The sequence below is a fragment of the Homo sapiens genome, chromosome 9, assembly GCF_000001405.40.
Source record: "Homo sapiens chromosome 9, GRCh38.p14 Primary Assembly".
NCBI classification, from domain to species: Eukaryota; Metazoa; Chordata; class Mammalia; order Primates; family Hominidae; genus Homo; species Homo sapiens.
In genome coordinates, this window is record NC_000009.12 from 86072057 (window position 1) to 86094169 (window position 22113).

Below are 22113 nucleotides of genomic sequence, written 5' to 3' on the forward strand. Positions count from 1 at the left end.
TATAAAATGATAGTGACCAAACATATACATTAAAACCAGAGAAAAAATATACATGTTGTTTTTGAACGTGTATAGTAATAGTTCAGAAATATAAGCTACAAAGACAATCATTAACATTCACAACAGTGGTTGTACAGGCAGGAGGGAAAGGAGAGAAGAGACGGAGAAGGGGAACATAGAGAACCTTGACTGTATTTATGATGTTTTTTGCTTTAAATAATATCTGGGTGAGGGGCACGCAGGTGTGAGCTTATTATTCATCTGACCTCTCTGCATGTCCAGCTATTTCATAAGAAAACCATTCTATGTCTCATTATGTCACCATCACACAGCTGTTGAGAAGCTCATGCAATGTCTTACACTTGCCCACCCACCCTGGGTGACATTCTAAGGGGTGTCTGAGCAAGCCTGTCTCAGTGCTGAGGACCTCGAGATCCACGTATACACAAATCCTGGGTGAGATGGCTATTCTGGGAAAAAAGCAGTGATGAGTAAGTTTCCAATCTGGCACAGCTTTGAAAAATGTTCAAGGATTCCAGTAAATGTGGGTAAAGATGAAAGAAATCCCTCAGAAAAACAAGCATTAACTCAATTACTTTGTAACAGCTCTATCAAATTACATTTAGATGAATTACAGTCATGCATTGCTTAATGATGGGGATAGGCTCTGAGAAATGCATCATTATGAGATTTTGTCTTTGTGTAACCATCATAGAATGCACTTATACAAACCTGGATATTATAGCCTACTGTACACCTAGGCTGTATGCTACAGCCTAATGCTCCCAGGCTACAAACCTGTACAGCATGGGACTGTACTGAATACTGCAGGCCTTGTAACACAGTGGTAAGTATTTGTGTATCTAAACACAGAAAAGATACAGTAAAAGTAGTAAGTATTTGTGTATCTGAACATAGAAAAGATTAGAATTTGATGGGTCCATAATTGACCAAAACATCACATGTGGCGCATGACTGCATACATCTTAATTACAATGCCCTTTAATTTTTAAATCACTTCACTGAAGAAGGGTAAAAAGGAAACTGAAAAAAAGATAACCTTGACAATGCATTTTTATTTTTAAAAGTGTAATTCTGCAAAACACTTGATCTCAATCACCGGTTTCTAGATCAGCTAGCTGCATCACAGTGGTCTGGAAGTTTAGAAAAAAAAAAAAGTACATGTATGAATATGTGTATGTTTATATATATGTGAGATATTTTTAAAAATTCTATATTCTGAGCCCAAACATCCAGAGAGTCTGATCTAGTGTATATTTTTAATCTGTATTTTGTTCATAAGCTCGCAGGTGGTTATCACGAGCAGCCAGGTGAGGACGGATTGCTCTGAAACAACTTCCATAACAAATAAGATCAAAACCCCAAGCTGGGGTGTAAACAAAAGCTGATTTGATAAGCTGAACAGATCATTCTGCATCAGAACACCAGCAAGCTGCAGAGACTTACTTTCAGGGGGGTGCACAACTCCCCAGGTTGAAGGTGATTTCATCTTCCATTGCCCAATTGCCCACACTGCTCCCGAACCTTACAGAGAAGGGGGAAAGGCACCAAGGAACCACAGGAGACTCAGACTCTGCCCTCCGCTCCACTGAGGAACATGGCTCCCTATGACTCAGAGGCCCAAACAAGGTTTTCCCCAGCATTCTGCCAACCACACAAACCCGTGCTGTCCAATGTGACCATTATTTGGCTATTTACATTTAAGTTCGATAAAATTAAATAAAATTCAGTTCTTCAGTCCCACTAGCCACATTTCAGGTATTCATTAGACTCATGTGGCTGGTGGCTACTGTACTATAAACATTTCTGCCATCATAGAAAATTCTATCAGACAGGGCCTACCCAAAGCAGTAATTTCATTATGAACAGGTGTTTGTTCACATTTTCCCTGATGACAGGTTTGGTTTCCAAGCTTTTGTCCAGCCCCCAACTTGAGGGATATAACACCTACCCAGAGTGACAGTGACTGCTTGAGGTGAGGAACGCTGGCAGAGACAGGCAGGGAAATCTCTAGGTCAGGTGTCATTTGCAAACCACCCCCAGCCACAGGTCCCCACACCCCAGCTCCTCCCATGGCTGAGAATCACCATGGTTCTTTAAAATTTTTTTAAGGAGACTTGTTCCAGTTCTAACCACAAATGCTAACCTTCTAAGATTTAAAAAAAAAAAAAAAAAAAAGACAGACAATGTATAAAAAAGTATTTAGGTGAAGGATAAGCCCATCCATGTAGCCAAAATAGAGCTAGTTAGAACACAGCAGTCTTTGGAAGCAAGGAGATCTAAAGAAGATGTTTTTAAAGTTTCTACTGTGAAGTCTTTAATGCAGACAAAGGTAAACAAGCTAGCATGCTGAACTCCCATGTACCCATCACCAGCTTCAGCACTGACCAACTCAAGCCCATCTGGTTTCCTCTATCCCCCTTCCCCTCCACCTTGGCGCCCTTCAGGTGCGGGCAGCCAAGAAGTTGTGTCTGCACTGAAGGAAGGCGGCGGCCAGTGTGCAGGGGTGGAGGCTGGCCTGGGGGCTCTCTAGGGTCTAGGTGTCATCCTGGTGACAGCTGCTAACTCTCTGAGCTTCCATTCACTAATAATATGAGCCCCAATCTCGTCAGACTGCTGGGAGGAATTAATGAAACAGTCCCTGTGAAATGCTCAGCCTCACGTCTGGCCAAGCACAGGCTCAGGAAACGTTCACTCCTGTGGCTGGTGTGGTGCCTGTCATCGTTCTCCTTCCATAGCCCCACCACACTGCTTGCTCTTGGTTCCACCTCCCTCAGTGTCTTCCTAACTCTTTTTAAAGCTAGCACAATTTGGTTTCATGGTTTCAATTTGGGAGGAAAAAAAAAATCTGCTACGGTCTGAGTGTGGGTGTCCTTCAAAATCCACACATTGAAACCAAATCACCAAATACCAAATGGAGGCGATAATGTTAGGAGCCGAGACCTCTGGGAGAGTCAAGCCCTCATACATGGGATTAGTGCCATAAAAGAGGCCCCAGAGAGCTGCCTTGCCCCTTCCACCAGGCAAGGACACCGCAAGAAGAAGGCATCCATGAACCTGGAAGTGGGCCCTCACCAGATGAATCTGCCCCGTCTTGATCTCTGACTTCCCAGCCTCCAGACCTGTGAGAATAAATACTTGTTGTTTATACGCTGCTCAGTTTATGATATTTTGTTATAGCAGCCTTAAACAGACTAAGACAAAGTCCATACAGAAAGAGATAACATTATCACCGCTGCTGCGGTGGCTTACGACTGCGCCCACCACTGCTGCTGTGATCATGGCCTCGACTGCCGTTGGTACAATTAGGTGTAATAATACCAACCACCAGCTGCTGAGCTTTCATTCTAGGTTGAGCACTGGGTTAAACGCTTTATAAATATTATCTCATTCAATCCTCACAGGCACCCTGTGAGATTCCTTTCTCATTTCCACTTGACAGTTGAGAAAACAGATCCAGAGAATTTAAGTGACTTGCCTAAAATCACACAGCTGAGGGAACTTTAAACCCGGGTCTGCCTGACTCACAAGTTCCATGCCTCCTACCACCAAACCACAGCTAAAATCCTCCTGCAGCTAAGGTTTGATGTGAGAACCCACCCTTGCTCACCAAAATGAAAAGACATTTATATCGCATATTCTAAAAGAGAAAAACTGTGGAAACAGATTCTCTTTTCAAATAACTACTTGATGCTCTTTTTTTTCTTTTTCTTTTTGAGAGATGAGGTTAAAGGGGATTTCAGGAGCACAAAAAGCATATCTCACCAGTAAGAAAAGGGAAGAAACATAAAGAAGCACTTTATTACAACAACATTATGCACAATTCCCAGAGAAGAAATATGAGCTTGCAAATATAGGAAAGTACTCTGCAAATTAAACAACAAAAAAAGTACTTCTTGAATTTTAAATCAGTTATGCGAGAAAAGTCTGAGTCCCTTCCTGGAAATAATTCATTTTCTGAGACAATTCAAGATAATGGAAGTTGAGCTACAACATTCTTCCAATAAATTAGCCACTCCAGAGAGAGAGGTACACGCATTATAAAAGCCAAATTTTTCAGGCCAGGTGCGGTGGCTCATGCCTGTAATCTCAGCACTTTGGGAGGCCAAGACGGGTACATCACCTGAGGTCAGGAGTTCGAGACCAACCTGACCAACATGGCGAAATCCCATCACTACTAAAAAATACAAAAAATTAGCTGGGCGTGGTGGCACATGCCTGTAGTCCCAGCTACTTGGGAGGCTGAGGCAGGAGAATTGCTTGAACCCGGGAAGCAGAGGTTGCAGTGAGCCAAGAGGGCGCCATTGCACTCCAGCCTGGACAACAAGAGGGAAACCCCATCTCAAAAAAAAAAAAAAAAAAAAAAAAAAAAAAAAAGCCAAATTTTTCTAGTTAATAATAGAGGCCAAAGTTTGATGCACTCTGGGACAGGAGATATTAGTAACTCACACAGTTACACAATTTAATAAAGAAAGTATAGTCATATATTCCTACATAAGAAAACCAGGCCGGGCACGGTGGCTCATGCCTGTAATCCTAGCACTCTGGGAGGCTGAGGCAGGTGGATCACGAGGTCAAGAGATCGAAACCATCCTGGCCAAAATGGTGAAAACCCCATCTCTACTAAAAATATAAAAATTAGCTGGGCGTGGTGGCAGGCACCTGTAATCGCAGCTACTCAGGAGGCTGAGGCAGGAGAATCGCTTGAACCCGGGAGGCAGAGTGAGCCAAGATTGCACCATTGCACTCCAGCCTGGGCGACAGAGCCAAACTCCATCTCAAAAAAAAAAAAAAAGACACATAAAGCTTAGATATTTTAATTAGCAGGAAGGCCCCTTTAAATCTACGCAGGATTTGTTGGTTTTTTTCCTAGCTTAAAAGCAAGGGTGCAGTCCCCTACTTTCTCTGTTAGTATTTAGTAGAGTCTGCCTCTCCTCTCCTCCATTAGATACTTGGAGGGCACAAATATTATTTTTCTCTGAGATATAAGCACCTGGCATAGGCCTGGCACAGAGTAGGTATTTAATACATGTTTGTGGAAAGTGGGAAGAAAAAACCCAATAGGAGAAAAAAAAAAGCCAATAGGAGGATGAATCTGAAATTGTTCTTCTGCATTTCTCCTGTTTATTACCACTGCAAAAGGCTTCACCGCAAGCCCAGCCAGGGACTTGGAGGGGAAAGGGAGAGAATGCCCAAAGCTTGATCAATAGGCTCTTTCCACATAATTACATAAATCTAAACCCAGCCGCTTGCTCATCCTCCCGCCAAGAAGAAACAGACAATGTAGACACCATCCCTTAGAAAAGAACTGAGAGGAAACAAAGCAGGCCTTGCCTTTTCGTCCTGGTACAGCTTGTTGACGCTCTCCAGCTGGAAGTTGTGGCTGGACTGGATTTTGTCAAGCTGCTCCCGCTGCTTCTCCAGCTCTCCCTGGAACTCGTTCTTCTTCAGCTCCACGGCGCCTCTCTCTGCAGCCGCCCTGCGGACCCTGCCTTCCAGCTCCATGATCCGTGTCTACAAGGAGACCGTGGCATTAGGGCTGATGCCAAGTTACCTGAGGAGCCTGGACCACCTGAGCGCCCTCCACAAAGACCACCTTGGGGCCCAGGGCCAGCACCAGTCTTATACACACAAGTGCCCAAGGCTGTGTTTTAAGTCAACTGGACAGAAGCTGGAGCGGTTTCTTCTGGAAAAAATGGTCTCTGTCAGTGTAAGTGAAGGAAGGCTCTGTGCACTCACACCACACTTCCCACTGGGTTTTTGTGAGGCTTAAATGTGCTAAGTGCACAGAATGCCTCATGCTTTACCTGGCATAAGATGATGCTCAAATATTTAGTTCTTCTTCGCTGCTAACAAAGCACTTAACAACTCTTTAGCAGATACAATTTCTGAAAACAGATTCAGTTCTCCAACTCCAGACAAGCAGACCTCATCTGCCCAGAGAACAGGAACTCCCGTGGAAGCTGAGACACAGGGAGTACAAGCCCAGGAGGGTAAGTGTGAGAACAGGACAGAGCACAGACGTGCTGGGGTGCCACGGCTAAGCCCATGCAGGTTGGAATCCCTGCTCCACCTCAACCTCTTGGTGCCTCAGTCTGACCCCCTGTGAAATGAGGAAAGTCAAGTCCCAGCCTTGTAGGGTTTGTGCACAAAAGGAGATAATTTGTATAAAGTACTGTGAAAGAGAAATTATTCTGACATTCATTAAAATGGTAAGAAAGACTATTCAAAACGATTGCAATAGGAGAGGGAAATTGTGCTCAATGCCGAACACATCAAAGACAGCTAGGGATTTATAGCCAACGAGCACAGTGCGGGGAGTCAGTGGATGGAAATCGCCCCCAGAGTAGGGGGATTCTTGCTAAACTGGCCTAACAAGATTCTTGCTAAACACAGGCCAAGGACTTAGACAGCAAGGGTAGGGATGAGGAACTTGGTCAAGGATCAGGGGTAGAAGGATGGCTTAGCGGGATCCTTTGCTAGGACTGGGCTGGGCAGGCCAAAGACAGGCAGTGAGAGTTGGGAGGTGCCAAGATCAAGGCCTAGTCAAGAAGACGGCTCAGAAGGGCCCGACTCAAGTTCAATCAAGAGGAGCATCTTTGTCACTGCTCAGCACTGCACCTGACCCATGACTGCACCGGTAAATGAGGAAGTTAAAATTATTATTATCATTAAGTAATGAAGATAAAGATTGGTACCTTTAAAAACATATTTCTTACACCCATCATCCAAGCACACTTCCAATACTACTCTTCGATATCTTGGGCGCCGGAGGACCGCAAACAACGGACTATGGCCAGTGTATGTAAGCAAGCTGTCTTCCCAGAACCACCCCAGTAGCTCAAATGAATGCTGTTAACTCACAGGAAAGGCAGGGAGGGATACCACAACCGCAATCCTACACAACCACAGAGGGGACCTCTCCCACCCAAAGCTGCTTGGGGTCTGGCCCAGGGCTGTGGGGGTGTGCAGAGCCCTAAACTCACCTTACAAGCGTGTGCCCTGCACAAAACGCCCTGGCTGGCAATAAACAACAAACCCCTGGGACCCCATCATAACAAAATAAACAAAACATAAACATAAAATAAACATAACAATAAAGAAAACAAAACACCTGGAGGTCCACGCTCCGGGAGCTCGCAATCCAGTAGTTGAAGCCCAAGACGATGATGCAGGCCACCAGGGCGGCCAGCACGAGGGGCGGCGACTTCATGCTGCGACGCCCGTTTCCCAAGCCCATCATCTCAAAATCAGCGCTGAGAATCTGCCAAGTAAAAGCAAATAAATAAACATCAATACTAGTTTTATCATCTCCGAAGCAGACCGTATCATCCTTACAACCAAGAGGAAAGGAGTCTTGCCAAGAAGCGTGGGCTGGTAGCTTCTCCTTGACGTGCAAAGCTGTCAAGGGAGAAGAGTATGTGAACGGCACGCACAGAGCCCATGGTGCTGTGAACCCAGGGCAGTGTGGCCAGTTCCCAGGACAGGCTCGGAGGAGCAGGCACCGCCCCGAAACCTGCCACAGATTAGCTCGAGACCTGGGGCAAGACATGATTCCTCTTACACTTCAGATTCCTCCCTTGTAAAATCATTACCATACTCACCTTCCCGGCATAGTTTGAGAATTAATCATTTCTGTAAGCAGCAATGTTTGAGAAGTAATCATTTCTGTAAACACCAATAACAAATATTAAGTGCTTCCGCATCATATTAGAAAGAGTATATTCCTCATTACTCCTCAGAGAGAGCTTTTTGCTTTGATTCCTAACAAGGGAGGTTTTTTTTACCCTTGACAGGATTACTAATGACACCCAATTAAAGCATTTCTCAAGCAAAGCAGGAAACCCATTCTGGAGGTGAATGTGAACTCCCCCCCATGTACATCATTATTCAGGCACAGCCCTGGCTATAGAAGTGTCTCCTCCTTCATGACACACAACGGAAGTGGGAGGTGTGCCATCTGCCTGAAGTCACCAGGAAAAATGTGTTCCATCTTAGGATTTGAGGTGGAAACAAGGCATTCACTCCATGCCAAACGAGAGCACCTTCTTTCGAACATTCATTTCTCACTTTAGGGACCGTATCTGTGCAACTGCTGCATTGTACACCTCATGTTAGGAAAAACAGTGCCTCTGTGTGAGAGCTACAGAGTGCACAAAAATACAGCTTAGAAGAAAGATGCCATAAATTTTGTTAATGGGCTTCAATTCAAAGCCAGGTCTGCCTGGATGCAAGCACTGGTCTCTAGGAACAAGGAAAGTAGACTTTTCCAAATGGCTTTTCCCAAGCCAGATAAAACAGAACCTTATCAGAGTGAGCGTGGCTGCACTGCAACAAACAGCCTTTGAGCACAGAGAGCCTTTTACACCAGGGGTGTCTAGCAACAGAGGAGGAAAGGGGATGGTGGGCAAAAAAGACAAGGGACGGGTAAGGAAGAGGATACCACCAAGGATTCACCTGCAAAACCCAATTCTCACCAGTGAGAACATGGGAGAACTGATCCTCACCCTATGGTCTTTTCAGGTGGGTCACCAAAAGGCTTCTTTTTTCTTAACAGCTAGCTACTAGTATGGGGGCCTGCCAGGGGATAAAGAAGCAATCTAGCCGAATCATCTAAAATAAAGCACCCCCAGAATTCCCACGGGTGGAAATTCTGACCTGTGCTCATGTCTTACCAGCTTCTGGCCTCTCAGGATGAAAGGGGAAACCACGTTTTTCTTTCAATTATCAGCTGATATCAGCAAGCACTGAATATACTCAAGAGACTCTTGATCACAAGAGTCTCTTTTTTGACTCTTAAACTTTTTAAAATTTTTGTTTATTTATTTTAGAGACAGGGTCTCTGTCGCCCAGGGTGGAGTCAGTCACGCAATTGTGGCTCACTGAAGCCTCAAACTCTTGGGCTCAAATAATCCTCCTGCCCTCAACCTCTCAAGTAGCTGGGACTACAGACATGGGCCACCATGCCCAGCTAATTTTTTAAAACAATTTTTGTACAGACAGGGTCTCACTATTGCCTAGGTTGGCCTCAAATTCCTGACCTCAAGTGATCCTCCCATCTGGGCCCCTCAAAGTACTGGGATTACAGGTATGAGCCAGTGCACCCAGCCTCAATGATTTTTTTTTTTTTTTTTTTGAGACGGAGTTTCGCTCTTGTTTTCCAGGCTGGAGTGCAATGGTGTGATCTCAGCTCACTACAACCTCTGCCTCCCGGGTTAAAGCGATTCTCCTGCCTCAGCTTCCCGAGTAGCTGGGATTACAGGCATGCACCACCACGGCCAGCTAATTTTGTATTTTTAGTAGAGACGGGGTTTCTCCATGTTGGTCAGGCTGGTCTGGAACTCCCAACCTCAGGTGATCCGTCTGCCTCGTTCTCCCAAAGTGCTGGGAATATAGGCATGAGCCACCGTGCCCAGCTAACCTTGTTTTTAAAATATAAAAGTACAAATACAAGAGGGGGTGGCAGGGACTTTTCCAAATGGCTTTTGCTAAGGAAAAAATAGGAAACTACACACAGTAGAGTATAAATTGGTCGGGTGCAGTGGCTCATGCCTGTAATCCCAGCACTTTGGGAGGCCAAGGCAGGTAGATGGCCTGAAGTCAGGAATTTGAGACCAGCCTGGCCAACGTGGTGAAACTCCATCTCTACTAAAAATACAAAAGCAGCCAGGCATGGTGGCACATGCCTGTAGTCCCAGCTACTCAAGAGGCTGAGACAGGAGAAAAGCTTGAACCCATGAGGCGGAGCTTGCAGTGAGCCAAGATGACACCACTGCACTCCAGCCTGGGCGACAGAGCGAGACTCTGATTAAAAAAAAAAAAGAAAAAAGGATAAATTACATCCCCCTCATCCTACTCCAAAGGAAAGGGATAACATTTTCTAACATCTGGGTCCTTCTGTTCCAGTGGTCCTCAACACTCAAGGGGCATCAGCATCACCTGGGACACTTTTTTTTTTTTTTTTTTTTTGAGATGGAGTCTCTCTCTGTTGCCCAGGCTGGAGTGCAGTGGCGTGATCTAGGTTCACTGCAAGCTCCGCCTCCCAGGTTCATGCCATTCTCCTGCCTCAGCCTCCCGAGTAGCTGGGACTACAGGCACCTGCCACCACACCTGGCTAATTTTTTGTAGTTTTAGTAGAGACGAAGTTCCCCCATTAGCCAGGATGGTCTTGATCTCCTGACCTTGTGATCCGCCCGCCTCGGCCTCCCAAAGTGCTGGGATTACAGGCATGAGCCACCGTGCCCAGCCTGACACTTTTTAAAATATCAATACCTGGGCTCCACCACTGCATTTCTTTTCTTTCCTTTTTTTTTTTTCTTGAGACAGGGTCTCACTCTGTTGCTCAGGCTGACACACTCACTCTGTCACCCAGGCTGAAATAGCTGCCTAGTGGTGTGATCCCAGCCTCAACTCCTGGGCTCAAGTGATCCTCCCACCTCAGCTTCCCCAACTTCCTGGGCTCAAGTGATCCTCCCACTTCAGCTTCCCAAGTAGCTGGGACTACAGGTGTGTGCCACCACGCCCAGCTAATTTTTTCTATTTTTGTAGAGATGGGGTCTCACTATGTTGCTCAAGCTGGTCTCAAACTCCTGGGCTCAGTGATCCTCCCGCCTCAGCCTCCTAAAGTGCTGGGAGTACAGGCGTGAGCCATCACACCTGGCCCCCAGCCCTGCATTTCTAATTCAATGGGGTTTAGGGCAAGGCCCGGATATTTGTATTTTTTAACCTCCCCAGGTGATTCATATGTATAGCCGCTATTCTAGATGTTTCTAGATGCATATATAAGCATCAATATATTTATTTTAATCCAAACAAGATCACACCATTCACACTCTTCTGTAAATGCTGTGTATTTCTTAGTAACACATCTTGCCTCCCCTTTTTTAGTAGCACATTATGGTTTGCTCCATTCTTTTCAAAGGGCTGAATAGGGCACCACTGTGTGCCAAGATCTGCTTAACTGATCTCCTACAGAGAAACAGTCAAGGTTTTCCAGGCTTATTTCCAACAATGCTACCATAAACAACCTTACACAGCTGTCCCTCAGTATTCACTGGGGATTGGTTCCAGGACCCCCTGAGGACACCAAAAGCCAAGGATGTTCAAGTCTCTTATATAAAATGGCATACTATGTGAATCCAACCCAGGCACATCCTCCTCTAGGCTTTAAACCATGTCTAGATTACTTATAATACTTAGTACAATATAAATGCTATGTAATTAGCTGTTAAGCCATATGTTTAGGAACTAATCACAAAAAAGTCTATACATGTTCAGTACAGATGCAACCACAGTAGGCCTAACTAATTTTTGTTTGTTTTTCTGAGATGGGAGTCTTGCTCTGTCACCCAGGCTAGAGTGCAGTGGCACGAACTTGGCTCACTGCAACCTCCGACTCCCAGGTTCAAAGGATTCTCCCATCTCAGCCTCCTGAGTAGCTGGGATTAGAGGTGGCCACCACCACACCCAGCTAGTTTTTTTTGTACTTTTAGTAGAGACAGTGTTTCACTATGTTGGCCAGGCTGGTCTCGAATTCTCGGCCTCAAGTGATCTGCCTGCCTCGGCCTCCCAAAGTGCTGGGATTATGGGCATGAGCCACCATGCCCAGCCAGGCTTAAGTACATTTTGAACAGCTAGTTTAATCTGCAGATGTGGAACTGTACATCCATCTCTGTGTTTACGAACTCTTACCTATGTGTACAGTCCCTTATTCACAACTTTGAAATCCAAAACGGTCTCTAAAAACTCAGAGAAAGTTTTAAAAACTTTTCCAGCAACAAAACCTGAACTGAGATCAAGGTCTGATCAGAACTTATCTGAAGCTACTGATAGTCTTTATCTTCCTCCTTTCATGTGAATGCTCATACATTTCACTGCAGAAAGATGAGTGTTTGAGCATGCGGTGCTGTCCTAGATCCTCCTGGGGCTGTCACATAATATATAATAAATGCCCAATGTTATCTGAATTCTGAAAAAAGTCCTGAGTTCCAAACCTAGCTGGCCTCAAGGAGCTTGAGATGAACCAACAGCAAGCTTACTGTTGTGAGGCACTGCTCAATACAGGGGCTCGTATCAGCTTTGGGGGCATTATCATCCCCATTTTGCAGGAGATGAAATAAATCACATCTCTGTGGATCTATTTCTGGGTCAAAAATGTATGTTTTTAATATTGATAGAGCTTCTCTCTTCCAAAATAGTTGGCAAATTACAAAGGGAAAAACAGTTCTATTACATGAAGAATTCTGGCAGATGCCACCTTAGCCACATGTTCAAGCTTGGTATCCCTGATAATGAGGCACATCGACATCACATACCCCCTGATATGGTGCACTAGGAGGGCACGGCACCTCTACAGCCTCCTGCCAGGGATACATAACCTCAATCTTATCAGGAGAAAATTCAGAGGAAGTCAACGCGTCAGACATTCTATAAAACACTTGGCCAGCACGGTTAAAAAGATATTACCAAGGTTAATCTCTTAATTTTGATAAATTCTATGGTTAAGGGGAAACAGGGTAAAGGGTATATAGGAACTATATGTACTATTTTCCAACCCTTCCTTAAGTCTAAACTATATAAAAAATTATTTGATAGATCTTAACCATATCCAAAACAGGTCCAACCTGTCAAATGCATGAGCCCCTTGAACCTTCTAGTTAAATATTAATATTTTAAAAAATTCCTTCCTTTCGCTGGGCACGGAGGCTCATGCCTGTAATTCCAGCACTTTAGGAGGCTGAGGCAAGCGGATCACGAGGTCAGGAGTTCAAGACCATCCTCACCAATATGGTGAAACCCCATCTCTACTAAAAATACAAGAAGTAGCCGGGGGTGGTGCTCACCTGTAGTCCTAGCTACTCGGGAGGCTGAGGCAGAAGAATCACTTGAACCCGGGAGGCAGAGGTTGCAGTGAGTCGAGATCGCGCCACTGCACTCCAGCCTGGGGGCAACAGAGTGAGACTCTGTCCCAGAGAAACAAACAAAAAGACAGTTAGGCCTACAAAAAAAATTTTCCTTCTTTTCATATAGAGGTTTTAATCACAATCTTCTGCAGCAGGAGAATGCCTGTTTTCCGACATGGTAACATAGAAAACAAACTTTTTAATGCCTGACAATCTCATTAGTGATATTTTCAAGCACATTAATTGTGAGTACAAATGAGTGTCTTTTCATTTATTGGCCATCTGCATGTTCATTTTGGTGAAATGCCTTTTCATATTTTTTGCCCAGTTTTAAACTGGGGTGTTCATCTTATTGATTTGCTAAAGCTCTTTGTCTATTAAAGGTAAACCAATCTTTGGTCCTTCATTTGAATAATTTTTTTTCAATTTTTCATCTATTCTTTTACTTTACAGAAATTTTGCCCAAAGTTTTTGTTTTTTTTTTTTTTTTTGAAGGTTCTACTTTTTTTTTAAATTATACTTTAAGCTCTGGGATACATGTGCAAAACGTGCAGGTTTGTTACATAGGTATACCTGTGCCATGATGGTTTGCTGCACCCATCAACCCCTCACCTACATTTAGTTACTTCTCCTAATGCTTACCCCTCCCCTAGTTCCCCACCCCACCACAGGCCCTGGTGTGTGATGTTTCCCTCCCTGTGTCCATGTTTTCTCATTGTTCAGCTCCCACTTATGAATGAGAACATGTGGTGTTTGGTTTTCTGTTCCTGTGTTAGTTTGCTGAGAATGATGGTTTCCAGCTTCATCCGTGTCCCTGGCAAAGGACATGAACTCATTTATGGCTGCATAGTATTCCATGGTGTATACGTGCCATATTTTCTTTATCTAGTCTATCACTGATGGGCATTTGGGTTGGTTCCAAGTCTTTGCTATCGTGAACAGTGCCGCAATAAACATACGTGTGCATGTGTCTTTATAGAATGATTTATAATCCTTTGGGTATATACCCAGTAATGGGATTGCTGGGTCAAATGGTATTTCTAGTTCTAGATCCTTGAGGAATCACCACACTGTTTTCCACAATGGTTGAACTAACTTACACTCCGACCAACAGAGTAAAAGCGTTCCTATTTCTCCATTCTCTCCAGCATCTGTGGTTTCCTGACTTTTTAATGATCACCATTCTAACTGGCGTGAGATGGTATCTCATTATGGTTTTGATTTGCATTTCTCTAATGACCAATGATGATGATCTTTTGTTCATATGTTTGTTGGCTGCATAAATGTCTTCTTTTGAGAAGTCTCTGTTCATATCCTTCGCCCAGTTTTTGATGGGTTTTTTTTTCTTGTAACTTTAAGTTCTTTGTAGAGTCTGGATATTAGCCCTTTGTCAGATGGACAGATTACAAAAGTTTTCTCCTATTCTGTAGGCTGCCTGTTCACTCTGATGATAGCCTCTTTAGCTGTGCAGAAGCTCGTTAGCTTAACTAGATCCCATTTGTCTATTTTGGCTTTTGTTGCCATTTCTTTTGGTGTTTTAGTCATGAAGTCTTTGCCCATGCCCACGTACTGCCTAGGTTTTCTTCTAGGGTGTTTATGGTTTTAGGTCTTACGTTTAAGTCTTTAATCCATCTTGAGTTAGTTTTTGTACAAGGTGTAAGGAAGAGGTCCAGTTTCAGTTTTCTGCATATGGCTTGCCAGTTTTCCCAGTGCCATTTATTAAACAGGGAATCCTTTCTCCATTGCTTGTTTTTGTCAGTTTTGTCAAAGATCAGATGGTTGTAGATGTGTGGCATTCTTTCTGAGCCCTCTGTTCTGTTCCATTGGTCTATGTATCTTTTTTGGTACCAGTACCATGCTGTTTTGGTTACTGTAGCCTTGTGGTACAGTTTGAAGTCAGGCAGCATGATGCCTCCAGCTTTGTCTTTTTGCTTAGGATTGTCTTGGCTATATGAGCTCTTTTTTGGTTCCATATGAACTTTAAAGTAGTTTTTTCCAATTCTGTGAAGAAAGTCAAGGGTAGCTTGATGGCGATAGCATTGAATCTATAAATTACTTTGGGCAGTATGGCCATTTTCACGATATTGATTCTTCCGATCCATGAGCATGGAATGTTTCTCCATTTGTTCGTGTCCTCTCTTACTTCCTTGAACAGTGGTTTGTAGTTCTCCTTGAAGAGGTCCTTCACATCCCTTGTAAGTTGTACTCTTAGGTATTTTATTCTCCTTGTAGCAATTGTGAATGGGAGCTCATTCATGATTTGGCTGTTTGTCTATTAGTGTATAGGAATGCTTGTGATTTTTGCACATTGATTTTGTATCCTGAGACTTTGCTGAAGTTGCTTATCAGCTTAAGGAGATTTTAGGCTGAGACGATGGGGTTTTCTAAATATACAATCATGTTGTCTGCAAACAGGGATCATATGACTTCCTCTCTTCCTATTTGAATACATTTCTTTCTCTTGCTTGATTGCCCTGGCCAGAACTTCAAATACCATGCTGAATAGGAGTGATGAGAGAGGACATCCTTGTCTTGTGGCAGTTTTCAAAGGGAATGCCTCCAGCTTTTGCCCATTCAGTATGATACTGGCTGTGGGTTTGTTGTAAATAGCTCTTATTATTTTGAGATACATTCCATCAATACCTAGTTTATTGAGAGTTTTTAGCATGAAGAGGTGTGGAATTTGATCGAAGGCCTTTTCTGCATCTATTGAGAGAACCATGTGGTTTTTGCCATTGGTTCTGTTTATGTGATGGATTACGTCTACTAATTCATATGTTGAACCAGCCTTGCATCCCAGGGATGAAGCTGACTTGATTGTAGTGGATAAGCTTTTTGATGTGCTGCTGGATTTGGTTTGCCAGTATTTTATTGAGGATTTCCCCATCGATGTTCATCAGGGATATTGGTCTGAAATTTTCTTTTTTTGTTGTGTTTAGGCCAGGTTTTGGTATCAGGATGATGCTGACCTCATAAAATGAGTTAGGGAAGAGTCCCTCTTTTTCTATTGTTTGGAATAGTTTCAGAAGGAATGGTACCAGCTCCTCTTTGTACCTCTGGTAGAATTTGGCTGTGATTCCGTCTGGTCCTGGGCTTTTTTTGGTTGGTAGGCTATTCATTACTGCCTCAATTTCAGAACTTGTTATTGGTCTATTCAGGGATTTGACTTCTTCCTGGTTTAATCTTGGGAGGGTTTATGTGTCCAGGAATTTATCCATTTCTTCTAGATTTTCTAGTTTATTTGCGTAGAGGTGTTTATAGTATCCTCTGATTTTAGTTTGTATTTCTGTGGGATCAGTGGTGATCTCCCCTTTACCATTTTTTATTGTGTCTATTTCAGTCTTCTCTCTTTTCTTCTTTATTAGTCTGGCTAGCAGTCTATCTATTTTGTTAATCTTTTCAAAAAACCAGCTCCTGGATTCGTTGTTTTTTTGAAGGGTGTATATATATATATATATATATATATATATATATATATTTAGGATAGATAGGTCTTCTTGTTGCATTGATTCCTTTACCATTATGTAATGCCCTTTTTAAATCTTTGTTGGTTTAAAGTCTGTTTTTTCAGAGGATTGCAACTCCTGGTTTTGTTTTTTTTTTTTTTTTGTTTTGTTTTTTTGCTTTCCGTTGCTTGGTAATATTCTTCCATCCCTTTATTTTGAGCCTATGTGTGTCTCTGCGTGTGAGATGGGTCTCCTGAATACAGCATACCTATGGGTCTTGAGTCTATCCAATTTGCCAGTCTGTGTCTTTTAATTGGGGCATTTAGCCCATTTACATTTAAGGTTAATATTGTTATGTGTGAATTTGATCCTGTCATTATGATGTTAACTGGTTATTTTGTCCATTAGTTGATGCAGTTTCTTCATAGTGTCGATGGTCTTTACAATTTGGTACGCTTTTGCAGTGGCTGGTACTGGTTTTTCCTTTCCATATTTAGTGCTTCCTTTAGGAGCTCTTGTAAGGCAGTCCTGGTGGTGACAAAATCTCTCAGCATTTGCTTGTCTGTAAAGGATTTTACTTATCCTTCACTTATGAAGCTTAGTTTGGCTAGATATGAAATTCCGGGTTGAAAGTTCTTTTAAGAATGTTGAATATTAGCCCCCATTCTCTTCTGGCTTGTAGGGGTTCTGCAGAGAGATCTGCTGTTAGTCTGATGGGCTTCCCTTTGTGGGTAACCTGACTTTTTTCTCTGGCTGCCCTTAACATTTTTTCCTTCATTTCAACCTTGGTGAATCTGACAATTATGTGTCTTCAGGTTGCTCTTCTCGAGGAGTATCTGTGGTGTTCTCTGTATTTCCTGAATTTGAATGTTGGCCTGTCTTGCTAGGTTGGGGAAGTTCTCCTGGATAATATCCTGAAGAGTGTTTCCAACTTGGTTCCATTCCCCCCCTCACTTTCAGGTACACCAATCAAACATAGGTTTGGTCTTTTCACATAGTTCCATATTTGTTGGAGGCTTTGTTCATTCCTTTTCATTCTTTTTTTCTCTAATCTTGTCTTCACGCTTTATTTCATTAAGTTGATCTTCGACCTCTGATATCCTTTCTTCCGCTTGACCGATTTGGCTATTGATACTTGCATATGCTTCACGAAGTTCTCGTGCTGTGTTTTTCAGCTCCATCAGGTCATTTATGTTCTTCTCTAAACTGGTTATTCTAGTTAGCAATTCCTCTAAACTTTTTTCAAGGTTCTTAGCTTCCTTGCATTGGGTTAGAACATGCTCCTTTAGCTCGGAGGAGTTTATTACCCACCTTCTGAAGCCTACTTCTGTCAGTTCATCAAACTCATTCTCTGTCCAGTTTTGTTCCCTTGCTGGCGAGGAGGTGTGATCCTTTGGAGGAGAAGAGGCATTCTGGTTTTTGGAATTTTCAGCCTTTTTGTGCAGGTTTTTCCTCATCTTTGTGGATGTATCTACCTTTGGTCTTTGATATTGGTGAACTTCAGATGGGGTTTCTGTGTGGATGTCCTTTTTGTTGATGCTATTCCTTTCTGTTAGTTTCCCTTCTCACTGTCAGGCCCCTCTGCTGCAGGTCTGCTGGAGTTTGCTGGAGGTCCACTCCAGACACTGCCTGGGTATCACCAGTGGAGGCATCAGAAAAGCAAAGATTGCTGCCTGTTCCTTCCTCTGGAAGCTTTGTCGCAGAGGGGCACCCACTAGATGCCAGCCGGAGCTCTCCTGTATGAGGTGAGCTGTCAACCCCTGCTAGGAGGTGTCTTCCAGTCAGGAGGCACAGGGGTCAGGGACCCACTTGAAGAGGCAGTCTGTCCCCTAGCAGACTTTGAGTGTTATGCTGGGAGATCTGCTGCTCTCTTCAGAGCTGGCAGGCAGGAACATTTAAGTCTGCTGAAGCTGTGCCCACAGCTACCCCTTCCCCCAGGTGCTCTGTCCCAGGGAGCTGGGAGTTTTATCTGTAAGACTGGGGCTGCTGCCTTTCTTTCAGAGATGCCCTGCTCAGAGAGGAGGAATCTAGAGAGGCAGTCTGGCCACAGTGGCTTTGCCGAGCTGCAGTGGGCTCTACCCAGTTCGAACTGGCAGCTTTCTTTACACTGTGAGAGGAAAACCACCTACTCCAGCCTCAGCAATGGCGGATGCCCCTCCCCTCTACCAAGCTCGAGCATCCCGGGGCAACTTCAGACTGCTGTGCTGGCAGCAAGAATTTCAAGCCAGTGTTTCTTAGCTTGCTGGGCTCCATTGGGGTGGAATCCAATGAGTTAGACCACTTGGCTCCCTGGCTTCAGCCTCCTTTCCAGGGGAGTGAACAGTTCTGTCTCGCTGGCGTTCCAAGTGCCACTGGGGTACCAAAAAAAAAAAAAAAAAAAAAAAAAAAACTCCTGCAGCTAGCTCAGTGTCTGCCCAAATGGCCGCCCAGTTTTGTGCTTGAAACCCAGGGCCCTGGTGGTGTAGGCACCTGAGGGTATCTCCTGGTCTGTGGGTTGCGAAGAGCATGGGAAAAGCGTAGTATCTGGGCCAGAGTGCACTGTCCCTCATGGCACAGTCCCTCATAGTTTCCCTTGGCTAGGGGAGGAGTTCCCCAACCCCTTGCACTTCCTAGATGAGGCGATGCCCCACCCTGCTTCTGCTCACCCTCTGTGGGCTGCATCCACCGTCTAACCAGTCCCAGTGAGATGAGCCAGGTACCTCAGTTGGAAATGCAGAAATCACCTGTCTTCTGTGTTGATCTCGCTGGGAGCTGCGGACCAGAGCTGTTGCTATTTGGCCATCTTACCAGCCACTCTGTTGTTGTTTTAAATAACCTAATCTTGTCAATCCTTTATTACTTCTCGATTGTTGTTATATTTAGAAGGGCATTTCCTATTCTAAGTTTATAAACAACTTACCCACATTTTTTTCCAATGTACAGTTTCATATTTACATTTAAATTGTTCATCCATTTAAAACTCCTTTTTGATGTAAGGAGTAAGGAAATACAAAGAATGCAGAAGTAAGGAAATACAAAGAATGCAGCTTTTTTTTTTCCTGTAGTGACAAGCCAGTTCTGCCAGGGCCCTCTACTGAATAATCTATTTTTACCTACTGCTTTGAACAACTATCTTTGTTATATACTAAATTTTCTAACAATATACTTTTTCTTAAAGAGATGGAATCTTGTCGCCCAGGCTGGAGTGCAGTGGTACAATCATGGCTCACTGCAGCCTTGAACTCCTGGACCTAAGCAATCCTCACACCTCAGTCTCCGAGTAGGCACATGCTGCCGCACATGGCTTGACAAAATACTTTTAGATGTGACCCTTGCAAGGCCTTTTGTTATTCTAGTAGAGGTAAGTCAGTGGGTGGGGTATATTATAAATTTGAAAGCAGAAAATAAACTCCATTCTCACTTCAAGGGAAGTGTACAGATAACCATTTAATATTCTCTTTTCTTTAAACAGCCAATAAAAAATTTATTGAGCAGCTACCATGAGTCAGGTGCTGTATTCACATCAGGCAGCTCAGGGTGGTATTAAGAGCACAGACTGGAATCCCATTGCCATATCTGAATCCTGGCTCCACCACTCAGGAACCCCACAGACTGGAGCCTCACAGCCATGTCTGACACTGGCTCCACCACTCAGGAACTCCAAGACTGGAACCCCACAACCATGTCTGACCCTTGCTCTACCACTCAGGGGACACAGGACCTGTCTGTGCATCACTGTCCTGCTCACAAGGTTTTTAAGAGGATTCAGTGAGTTGAGTGAGAAGCGCTTAGAGCTACATTTGGCACATAGTAATTGCTCAACAAATGTTGACAACTATTAGGGATGGAAAGATGAACAACAAATCATTTCTAGATTCAATCTTTTTTCCATTTTATGAGGAAACAGTGATGCATGTTTTCCTTCCATAACCATTCTACTTTATAGCAACCAGTCCTCCTCTTTCCTTCTCCTGACTCTGCCACCAACTAAAATAGCAGTACCTGCCATTACCTGGGGCTGACCTACAGTTGCCACTGAGGCCGTGGACATCCCAGACCAGGATCATATTATGAAAAAGGTTTGAGGAAGCCAAGCCTCAAACAGTCCTGGAAGTCATACAATCCTGGAAGCCCCTCACTGTCACCCAGTGCTTGGCTGGCCAGGAAGGTGAGCAGCTGTCTAGACAGCACTCTTAGGAGAGCCCTGGGCTCCCAATGGGAGCAGGGCTGCCCAGGTAAATAGTGACACAAGGAAAGGAAGTAACACAATGAGGCTTCAGGCCTGCAAGGTGCCTCCTCACAGGCTTCCAGGACTGTAGAAACCCTTGCTGCTGAAGGATAAGGGACACACACTGGCGAGAAATGATCAAGACTGATGAAGGCTGGTGGCAGGAACTCACAGGCAGAGTTTATGGTGGTCAAATACATCAGACACTCTCCCTTCTCCCACCTTAGAATTTATTTGGATTGCGGATGAGATGGAAGTGGGTGAGTGATATACTGCATCAAACAGAGGTATTAATTTAATATTCATTTTCATTTAAGCTTCAGAATATGTTTGTCTCATACTTGGTTATAAGCTTCCAACATACTGAAAATGATTAACTTAAATCAGCTAAACTCTGTGAGGCTCCAGGCTTTCCCAAAATTAAAACAAGTGGTGTGTTTTCACATTAAAAATCACTTGATAGGCTGGGTGTACACAGTGGCTCATGTGTATAATCCCAGCACTTTGGGAGGCCAAGGCAGACGATCACCTGAGGTCAGGAATTTGAGGCCAGCCTGGCCAACATATCAAAACCCTGTCTCTACTAAAAATACAATTAGCTGGGCATGGTGGTGTGTGCCTGTAATCCCAGCTACTTGGGAGGCTGAGGCAGGAGAATCGCTTGAACTTGGGAGGCAGAGGTTGCTGTGAGCCAAGATTGCGCCACTCACTCTAGCCTGAGTGACAGAGCGAGATTCTGCCTCAAAAAAAAAAAAAAAAAAAGAAACAACAACAAAAAAACCCCAAAATTATCTGGGTGTGGTGGCACACACCTGTAATTCCAGCTACTTGGGAGGCTAAGGCATGAGAATTGCTTGAACCCAGGAGATGGAGGTTGCAGTGAGTTGAGATTGCGTCACTGCATGCCAGCCTGGGCGACAGAGCAAGATTTCTGTCAAAAAAAAAAAAAAATCACTTGATAAATCAGAAAAGGAAAAAACTGCATATTCTTACCTACTGGCTTAATTTAAAAATTCAACCTATTGGTTAAAATTATTATTTGCTTTTAAGACAAAATGTTTGTAATTTAACAAAGCCTTCTAATTACTTTTTTTAAAAGAAAGAAAAGGCATATGAAAATGGACAACATGCCAAATACACGAGCCCCTTGACCCTCCTAGTCAAATATTATGTTTAACATTTCCTTATTTTCATATAGGGCTTTAAATCAGAAAAGCAAATATATAGGAGCAATCGCGTCAGATTAGCATGTTTGACCAACATCAACCAGTGCAGAAACTGGGCTTCTCCAAACAGTGGTGGAGCCACACCTCTAACTCCTTCTCAGAGGAATGGCCCCAGCGGCTCAGCAGGAAGTTCAGAAGTCACTGCAATGAGCAAACAGACCTGAGCACACCCCGGCGCAGCCTGGAGTCCGGGAAAGAATCAGTCACCAAGTTTTCTGATGGCCTGGAAATATTCCACCCTGTCCCAAGAATGTCTCTAAGCCAGGGGTGAGCAAACTATGGCCCACAGGCCATATCCGGGCCTGGTTTTT

General features: G+C 43.9%; 1 protein-coding gene across 2 annotated transcripts in view, besides 2 other annotated features; it reads right to left on the reverse strand.

Annotated features, from left to right (window-relative positions):
- GOLM1 (golgi membrane protein 1) overlaps positions 1-22113 on the reverse strand; it is a 74004-nt gene that overhangs the window by 45911 nt on the left and 5980 nt on the right. For both annotated transcript variants that reach the window (NM_177937.3, NM_016548.4), the window contains exons 2-3: positions 7136-7285; positions 5356-5535 (exon numbers count right to left, since the gene is read on the reverse strand). In NM_177937.3, coding sequence (NP_808800.1) covers positions 5356-5535; positions 7136-7264 — 309 coding nt within the window. In that variant the 5' untranslated portion in view covers positions 7265-7285. The remainder of the gene's footprint in view (positions 1-5355; positions 5536-7135; positions 7286-22113) is intronic.
- Positions 6827-8026: an enhancer, noted in NCBI's record as "BRD4-independent group 4 enhancer chr9:88693798-88694997 (GRCh37/hg19 assembly coordinates)". NCBI's record gives its function as "activates an origin of replication core promoter dependent on BRD2, P300/CBP, MED14 and CDK7 cofactors, and independent of BRD4, by STARR-seq in HCT116 cells {active_cell/tissue: HCT116}" and the evidence as "EXISTENCE:reporter gene assay evidence [ECO:0000049][PMID:35650434]".
- Positions 21698-21992: a silencer, noted in NCBI's record as "tiled region #3020; HepG2 Repressive DNase matched - State 8:EnhW". NCBI's record gives its function as "represses a minimal TATA promoter and a strong SV40 promoter by Sharpr-MPRA in HepG2 cells {active_cell/tissue: HepG2}" and the evidence as "EXISTENCE:reporter gene assay evidence [ECO:0000049][PMID:27701403]".